Source organism: Homo sapiens, chromosome 17, assembly GCF_000001405.40.
Source record: "Homo sapiens chromosome 17, GRCh38.p14 Primary Assembly".
Lineage (NCBI taxonomy): Eukaryota > Metazoa > Chordata > Mammalia > Primates > Hominidae > Homo > Homo sapiens.
This window is the reverse complement of record NC_000017.11, coordinates 41,030,505-41,040,540: the sequence shown is the minus strand read 5'-3', so window position 1 is coordinate 41,040,540 and position 10,036 is coordinate 41,030,505. Positions and strand designations below refer to the sequence as shown.

Genomic DNA, 10,036 nt, shown 5'->3' with positions numbered 1-10,036 from the left:
CTTTCTTTGCTTTGGAATTTATTAACAATATTGGGGTACTGGGATTTTTCAAAATATCAACATGACATGACACTATGGTTTTTCTGTACTTTTGCTCTTTTAATGATGATATTTAACAGCAATTTTCCTTTGTTTTACCATTAAATGGTCCAATATTTTGCAGCCAAGACATATGATTAAAGGAACTTGACAACATTTAGGAACTGTTTCCTAAGGTCCTCTCATGTGCAAAGTGGTGGGCTAGGTATTCCAACAGATTGATTCAGCTTCTTGAGGTTTTGCCAAATCTATTCATTCATCCATTCATATATGAGGTTGTATACAATTATTTCTGTCCTCCAAGATATACAAAAGCATAATAAAAATTGTGAAAGAATACAAACACAAGATTACAGAGTAATAGCATGTAACGAATATACACATTTCATTCAAGGTCTAGGCTCATAACTCCCATAGCCCTTTTATTGATGTTAGGGCACTTTACACTTCAGAAGCAGGCCTCAGAAAACAGAATCTCTCTCTCTCTCGCTCTCGCTCACTCACTTGCTCTTGCTCTCTCTCTCTCTCTGGCCTTCTCCCCACCTCTTTTCACCTGCTCCTTTTACTCCTCAAGGCAAGAATCTTCCCCCACTGTTCTTGGCACTGGCCATCAAGATATTCTCCTACCTACCTTGCCTGATTGTAGGTCATAAGATCCCCATTTCAGAAGAGGTTCTGCCCCATGCCCTGGAGGAAGGAAGGCTGCATAGAGAGACCAAGAAGGATCTGACAGACAGGTTTCATCACTCACTCTACTAACATTAGATCATACTCTTTTTGTCCAATCACGTTTCTAATGGTTGTCCATCATGCCCATCCACTGAAGTCCCCGTAAAATGTTCAAAAAAAAAAAAAAAAAAAAACCCACAGAGTTTGAGGAGCTTCCAGATAGCTGAATGTGTGGAGGTTCCTGGAATGTGCTGTTCCCAGAGAGGTTATGAAAGCTCCTCATACCCCTTCCCCCACACCTCACCCTATGCATCTCTTCTTCTGTGCCATTTGTAATTGTCTTTATAATAAACCAATAAGCTAAATGTTTCCCTGAGTCCTGGGACCTGCCCTAGCACATTCATCAAACTTGAGGGTGTCATGGAATTCCCAATTTATGGCTGGTTGGTCAGAAGCACAGGCAAAACAACCTGGAGCTTGTGCTTGGCACTGGAAGTAGGGGGCAGTCTTACAGAACTGAGCCCTCCCCCTGTAAAACCTGACACTATCACCAAGTAAATAGCGTTAGAATGGAATTGGAGTGGAAAACATGCAGCTGGTATCTGCTGCAGAATTTATTTCCTTGCTTCTTGATGGGGAGAAATCCCCACACATTAGCCACAGAAATCTTCTGTGTTGATTGTTGTTGAGTGAGAGAGTAGAAAGAACATTTGAGTGTGTTTTTTTTTCCTTCTACCCAATAGCATAAGATGTAAAAATAGCTTATGCTATTGGGTAGAAGAACAAAAAGCTAAATCAAGACTCCTGAGTTCTAGTCCCAACTTTGTAACTAGCTATCCATGAATCCTTGAGCAAGTCCCTTCACTTGCCTGGGTACCTATTTCTAATTTGGGAAATGAGAGAATTGAGTCATTACTGACAACATCCCTTCCAGGCATAAGAGGGTAGATAATTTCCTAAACAGGCTACACACTGACCAGTAATAGCTTCAGATGCCCAAAGAGGAAAAAATATACAGTGGTCAAATTATGTTGTATGCTTTATCACCTTTTTGCAAGTTTATAAAGCCACACTGGAATATTAAAGGGACTGAGATGGCCTGCAATAAATAAAGCTCTACAACCAGTGGCCGGGCTCAGTGGCTCACACCTGTCATCCTAGCACTTCCGGAGGCTGAGGCAGGTGGATCACCTGAGGTCACAAGTTCGAGACCAGCATGACAAACATGGCAAAACCCCGTGTCTACTAAAAATACAAAAATTAGCCAGGCGTCATGGCGGGCACCTGTGGTCTTACAGGCTGAAGCAGGAGAATCACTTGAATCCAGGAGGTGGAGGTTGCGGTGAAACAAGATCGCGCCACTACACTACAGCCTGGGTGACAGAGTGAGAGTCCATCTCAAAAAAAAAAAAAAAGAAAAAGAAAAGAAAAAAAAAACAACTCTATAACCATCACTCCCAAACTAACTTAGCCAGAAAACTCTCTATTTTTATGTTACCTGTTAACACCCTGTAACACAAATACTCCTCAAAATATACTTTGAAAAATGATGAAAGGGAGTATCAACTGATGTTTTTATAATACCTGTATAATCTTCTTATGTATTGTGAAGCAGAAAATAAATGTTCACTGCAAGGATGGATTTAAATACTGTCACTGTTCTTATTCTAATTTTCAGAGAGAGTTCTAGATGAAGCAAGCATTAAATAAAAGACGCATAGTGAGGCTTTCATTCCAAGGGATAAAATCTTTTGTCATTAAATCAAAGTGGTGAGCCAGTGCCTGGGGGTAGAGGGGTATGGGAAGTGATTGCTTAAAGGTCATGGGGGTGTTCTTCTGCGATGATGGAAAAGTTTTTGAAGCTAGAGAGAGATGATGTTGCCCAATATTATAAATATACTATATGTCACTCAATTATACACTTTAAAATGGTTAATTGTAGGTTATGTGAATTTAACCTCCATTTTAAAAAATCAAAAGAACAGGACCTCTGCTAGCACAACTTTAAAAGAATTAGGAAAAGGCACCACTTTGGAGAAGATACAGACAGAGGAGTGCACAGTTTGTTGAGCCTCCAGCTTGATGTAAGAAATAATATGCTCCTTCCTCTGAGTGGACAGAGCCACACATCAGGGCGCGACCTGTACATCTATACACAATGGCCCTACAATGTAGTCAACATTTTATTCCCCTCATTTAGAGCTCTGTTGTCTCTGAGAGGGTTTAGGTTGGATGTACCTTTTAATTAAAAGGACTTTGGCTCAGAAGCACCCCAAAAAATCCTGGTTGGCATTCAGGAGGGAAGAGATAGATCTTGTGACTTGGCTTAGGATAAAAGTTGGTAGTAAGAGGAGGTCCTTGAAGTTTATGTGTTATCTGGTCTAGATTACTAGGATGGAAGCCCAGAGCAGAAGCACAGAAGCCCTACATAGGAATGTTGTATTCATTTGACTGGTACATCAATCATGTTTTATTTCTCGAGAATCTAAGTAAGGCAGTCACAACCGAATTAGAGAACTAGTAAAACGGAGATGAAGAAATTGGGAGAATCCCCAGAACTTGTAACTAGAAAACCAGAACCATGATATCTTAAAGAAAAATAATTTCAAACATTAGTGTCTGTGTTAAACCAAAGCCACGTTCAGGAATAACAGACAAACACATTCTTTCTTCTTATGGTACTGGAATGGTCTACAGCCCATCACTTAAATGAAGTAATGAATGCCAGAGGGAATCAGCACAGTAATAAGAAATGTGGTATATACACACAACGGAATACTATTGAGTCTATAAAAAGCAGGAAATTCGGTCACATATTACAACATACCTAAACTTGAAGGATATAATGTAAAGTGAAATAAAATAAATTTCATTTTCTTAATTTACTTAGAGGAGGTAAGGGAATGTTCAGATTAGTCTTCGTTCTGTGGCACAGGAGTCAAATTCTCAAGTAAGTGTCATACCTTAAATTTTGCATTGAGGAAGATGTTGAAAATAGTGCCACAGTAGAAAAGCCCAGAAAGGGAGAACTGATATGCAACGCCACTGTCTCCAGTGCTCTTATCAATAATGTATTTCAGGTCCTCAGATATCTGAGCCTTTTGCAAAAGGAGATACATCTGTTTAGTATCAAAGATTCTGCTAAATTTAGATCTGAATTAAATAGCTCCCGAGATTGTTGTCATGACACACCCACGTATTTCAAGCATCCAACATAAAAAATATTAGCTAATCAAAGAATCTGTGATGTAGCTTTGCTTAAGAAGAAGCAAGGAATTCACAAAGAATCATATCTTTTAAACCAAATTTGATGTGGGATTTGAAAATATGTCTTAATTCTGACTCAGAAAGAGTTATGATGTAAACTCAAAGCTGTCATTTCTAGAGAAGCAGAACTACCACTTGGTGTTCTGGTTCAAAATCCAAGAGTAGCATCGTAACTTGCATTTCTCAGTAATGAACCCATACTCCATGGAGGCCTGGTCACCTTTTATTGCATCTAAACAAAACCTTTATATTCACCGTCATCAGCTGTCTCATTCAAATTATATAAACTTTCCAGTTCACTGGATTAGTCTCTAATATCTATAATAAACTGCATACAGCCGATCTAACACTCTGTAGTAAATCACATACTCCAGTATTAATATGTTAAAAACTATAATTTTATGCAGTTAAAAAATCTAAATCTATAGAATATCCTAAGATAAAAGATGAGACAAAGTCACAAGAAGGTTAACTTTTTTAGCACTTAAGATTTTCTTGAACTGTGCTTATTATGCTGTTAATAAATAAATAAAATCTCTAGGAATGGCTGTAGTAAACTGTGTTATTACTTACCCTAAGCTCTCCCTTCCTTCCTTTTACTCTCAAAAAAGTCCGTAAGAAAGGAAGCAAATTTTTACGGCTTGCTTTCACCATTGGAATTTCCTTAGAATGACTTTTTACATAAAAAAAGAAGAAAGGAAAGAAAGAAAGGAGAAAGAAGAAAAAGAAAGAAAGAAAGAAAGAAAGAAAGAAAGAAAGAAAGAAAGGAAGGAAGGAAGGAAGGAAGGAAGGAAGGAAGGAAGGAAAGAAAGAAAGAAAGGAAAGAAAGAAAGAAAGAGAAAGAAGGAAAGAAAGAAAGAAAGAAAGAAAGAAAGAAAGAAAGAAAGAAAGAAGAAAGGAGGGAAGGAAGGAAGGAAGGGAGAAAGACAGAGAGAAAGAGAGAAAGAATTGACTATAGTGTTTAAAGAGTTTAGTCTGGAATCAGAGGTTGTGGATTCAAATTTCAGATTCACTAGATACTAGTGTGAACTAGGGTAAGTTACTTCAACCTGTTGTGGCTCAGTTTTCTCACATGGTTGATGGGAGTGGCAGTGATACCTAGCCCATAGATTGCCGTGAAAATTCAGCAAATTGATACATGCGAAGTACTCAGAACTATTTAGGCACATAATCAGTGATGGGAAAATGTTATCAATAGCAATTAATGCAAATCTCCCAGGCCCAAGAAAGCATCCCTTTCTGGCCAGCTGAATATAGTCTTGCTTCACAGTCAAAGGGAAGATAAGAAAGTTAGAGAAGGAGCCACAGTTAAAATTGGAGGGAATTAAACTGTCATGTGAGACCCAATCACCCAGTTGTAAGGGTCAACACTGAGTAATATTGACAATCCTTAAAGGTGAGGCATCAGTCAATTATTCCTTGACCATGAGGAAATTTTAAGAAACATGAGGAGTTAGGGATCATATTCCTAATTAATGCCAATGACTTCTTGACCATGGTAAAGAAGCCTAATTGCAGACCAAATACAATCAACTTTCAAAGGCTCTCAGTAGGTTCAACAAATAATTCAGGGAGAGGCCAATTATCATTCAGAGACAAATTATCCAACACAAATAAGCAAGAGACTTCTGGAATTATGTAAACAGTAGCTGGCCCAGGCTTATAAAAGGCCCAATGTGGCAGCCATCACCAAAACTCAGAAACTCCTCCAAGCAACCCAGACTTCATACCAGCTCCCAACACCATGACCTGCTGCCAGACCAGCTTCTGTGGATATCCCAGCTGCTCCACCAGTGGGACATGCGGCTCCAGCTGCTGCCAGCCAAGCTGCTGTGAGACCAGCTGCTGCCAGCCAAGCTGCTGCCAGACCAGCTTCTGCGGATTTCCTAGCTTCTCAACTAGTGGGACCTGCAGCTCCAGTTGCTGCCAGCCAAGCTGCTGTGAGACCAGCTGCTGCCAGCCAAGCTGCTGCCAGACCAGCTCCTGCGGAACTGGCTGTGGCATTGGTGGTGGCATTGGCTATGGCCAGGAGGGCAGCAGTGGAGCTGTGAGCACCCGTATCAGGTGGTGCCGCCCAGACTGCCGTGTGGAGGGTACCTGCCTGCCCCCCTGCTGTGTGGTGAGCTGCACACCCCCAACCTGCTGCCAGCTGCACCACGCCGAGGCCTCCTGCTGCCGCCCATCCTACTGTGGACAGTCCTGCTGCCGCCCAGTCTGCTGCTGCTACTCCTGTGAGCCCACCTGCTAAAAGCCAGTTTGCTGATTTTCAACTTGAAATTTCCACTTTCAGTTCCATTCATGAACGAATTATTTCTTCAAGCACTTATGGACAACGAACAAATTCTTCAACCTTTCTTTGTCTTTCTTATGGGGGTTACCAAATATTTTGGCCTCAGAATTATCTGATTCCTTTCAATTCCAGAAAGACCTTACTCTTCTCTCTGAGGACGCCAAAATACAAATTTGACCCAAGAAATGAAAAAGCCGATTTACCTTGAAACTGAGCCTTTGCAAGCATTGAAGCCCACGCTCTGAGTCTCAGCGCCGACGAGACCATGGAAGAGCCATCTGTCCTTCTCAGGACACTCACTTCCTGTATCCCACCGTCCTGCAAATTGCACCCCCTATGAAAGAGGAATAATATACCAAGGTCTAATAAATTTTAACTATTGGTGCAACAAACATATCTTTTTTTTTTCATTGAGTGTACTCAGGATGTATATTTCATAGAATGTCATATGAAAAACTTTAATCTGCTTTTGATATCCCTTCTCTTCTAATACCACATTAGGAAATTTGTTATCCAGAGGTCCAGTGGAGGTTAATGACCATAAAAACATAGAGTAAGTGTAGTTATTTAGGGCCTCAGAAATGGCAAAGGCTCTGTTACCATAACTTAACCTTACACAGTGCTTTCACAACCAGGAAGTTACAGAAATCAAAATCTCTGGCTGGGTACGGTGGCTCACACCTGTAATCCCAGCATTTTGGGAGGCCAAGGTAGACAGATCACGAGGTCGGGAGTTTGAGATCAGCTTGGCCAACATGGTGAAACCCCATCTCTACTAAAAAAAATAAATTGCATTTCTATATACTAACCATGAAAAATCTGTAAGGAAAATTTTAAAAACAATTCCATCAAAAGAATAAAATACTTATGGCCGGGCATGGTGGCTCATGCCTGTAATCCCAGCACTTTGGTAAGCTGAGGTGGGCAGATCACCTGAGGTTAGGAGCTCAAGTCCAGCCTGGCCAATATAGTGAAACCCTGTCTCTACTAAAAATACAAAAATTAGCCAGGCATGTTCGTGGATGCCTGTGGTCCCAGCTACTGGGGAGGCTGAGGCATGAGAATTGCTTGAACCCAGGAGGTGGAGGTTACAGTGAGCCAAGATTGTGCCACTTCACTCCAGCCTGGGTGACAGAGTGAGACTCCATTTCAAATAATAATAATAATAATAAAATAAAGAATAAAATACTTAGGAACAAACTTAGCCTTGGAGGGGAAAGACTCGTACACCAGAAACTACAAAATGTTACTGAAAGAAATTAAAGAAGACACAAATAAATGAAAAGACATCCTGAGATCATGGATTATAGGATTTAATATTGTTAAGATGTCAATACTACCCAGAGAATCTACAGATTTAACGCAATCCCTATAAAAATCCCAATGATGTTTTTGCAGAAATTTTAAAAAAATCCATCCTAAAATACATATGAAATTAGAAGGGGTCCTATATAGCCAAAACAATCTTAAAAAAGAACAAAGTTGGTCTCACATTTTCCTGTTTCAAAATTTACTGTAAAGCTACAGTAATCATAACAGTGTGATACTGATATAAAGACAGATATATAAAGCAATGGAAAAGAACAGAGAGCCTAGAAATAAACCCTCAAATACACATATGGTTAAATGAGTTCATTTATTTATTTATTTGAATTGACAAAAATTATATGTATTTATTGTGTACAACACATTTTTTTGGAATATGTATACTTCGTACAATGGCTAAATCAAACTAATTAACATATGCATTACCTCACATAAGTTTTTTTGTAGTGAAAACACAAAATCTACTCTCTTAGCAATTTTCAGGACTGTAACATATTGTTATGAACTATAGTCTCTATGTTGTACAATAGATCTCTTGAATTTATTCCTCTTATCTAACTGAAATTTTGTAATCCTTTGACCAACATCTTCCCAACACACTCCACCACCACCCTACCCCCGGTAACCACCATTCTACTTTCTACTTCCATGAATTCAACTTTTTCTTTTTTTTGAGGTTTTTTTGTTTTTATTATACTTTAAGTTCTAGGGTACATGTGCACAACTTGCAGGTTTGTTGCATATGTATACATGTGCCATGTTGGTGTGCTGCACCCAATAACTTGTCATTTACATTAAGTTCCACTTGTAAGTGAGAAAGTGCAATATTAGTCTTTTTCTTTGTCTGACTTATTTCACTTAGTATAATGTTCTCAAGTTTAATCTGTTGCCCCAAATAGCAGGATTTCCTTCTTTTATGACCAATAATATTCCAGTGTGTGAGTGTGTGTGTGTGTATGTGTGTGTGTATCACATTTTCTTTATCCACTCATTTAATGATGGACATGGACACTTAGGTTGCTTCCATATCTTGGCTATTGTGAGTAATGCTGCAATGAACATGGGAATGCAGATGTCTCTTCAAAATACTGATTTACTTTCCTTCGGGTATATACACAGAAGTGGGATTGCTTGATTATATGACAGTTCTATTTTTAATTTTCTGATGAACCTTCATATTGTTTTCCATAATGGCTGTACTAATTTACATTTCCACCAACAGTGTGCCAGAGTTCTCTTTTCTCCACTTCCTCTCCAACACTTGCTATCTTTTGTCTTTTTGATAATAACTATCTAATATGTGTGAGACGATATCTCATTGTGGTTTCAATTTGCATTATCCGATGATTGGTGATTTTGAAAATTTTTCATATACCTGTTGGCAATTTGTAGATTTTTTTTGAGAAATGTCTATTTAGATTTTTTGCCCATTTTTCAATTACGTTATTTGTTTTCTTACTACAGGTATTGAGTTGTTTGAGTTTCCTCTATACTTTGGATATTAACCCTTTATCAGATATGTGGTTTATAAATATTTTCTCCCATTCAGCGGTTTGCGTCTTCACTCAGTTTAGTGTTTTATTGGCTGTGCAGAAGCTTTTTAGTTTGATGTAATCCCACTTGTCTATTTTTGCTGATGCTTTTGGATTCATGTTCACAATATCACAATATTGGCCAGGCAAAAGTCATGGAGTTTCCTCTGTTTTCTTCTTATAGTTTTATCATTTTGAGTCTTTCTTACATTTCAGTCTTTTAATCCATTCTAAGTTGGTTTTTGTATATAATGTGAGACAATGGTCTAATTTCATTTCTTCTGAATGTGAATGTGGTCAAATGATTTTCAACAAGGGTGACAAGACTATTTACAAATGGTTAAGATGGTTAATGTAAATGGTTCATAAATTTTATGGTATGTATATTTTACCACAATTAAAAATTTGTAACTATAAACATGTGTAGGAGACCCAAACTTTTCTGAAATAGAAGATATATATGTATATATGCTGGTTTATATTTGCAGAAGCAAGGATAAAGGTGTCAAAGAATGTGCACCAAATTCTTAATATTGATTACCTCTAGAGCATTAGTTTTGGAAGAGATGTGTGCATCTTCCAGGAAGGGAAAAGACACTAATTTTTCTTTATATACCTCTGTACTCTTTGACTTGTTACAATGTGTACTCATTACTAGCACATATGTTTAATTTAATAGAGTCAGAAAACAATCTACAAGCAAAAGTCATTAAAGATTTTAGTTAGCAATTTGTACATTCACTATTACTGAAGGCAAGAATATTAGATAGAGCTCTGAGGATCCTATAACTTGCACAAATTGATCATAGAAAGGCATACTTGGTTTGAAAGTTGATACATCAGGTTGTAGTTCATGTTTTGATGACACTAATGTTAGTCTTTCCAAGTCTGGACAAATTGTTTATAAAATCAT

The 10,036-nt window shown here is 38.3% G+C and overlaps 1 protein-coding gene across 1 annotated transcript; it reads left to right on the top strand.

Moving 5' to 3' along the window:
* Window positions 5,667–6,657, top strand: KRTAP1-3 (keratin associated protein 1-3). The gene has a single exon (NM_030966.2). The coding sequence runs from the start codon at window positions 5,720–5,722 to the stop codon at window positions 6,221–6,223; it is 504 nt and encodes a 167-aa protein (NP_112228.1). The 5' UTR covers window positions 5,667–5,719; the 3' UTR covers window positions 6,224–6,657.
* The last annotated feature ends 3,379 nt before the right edge of the window (window positions 6,658–10,036 follow it).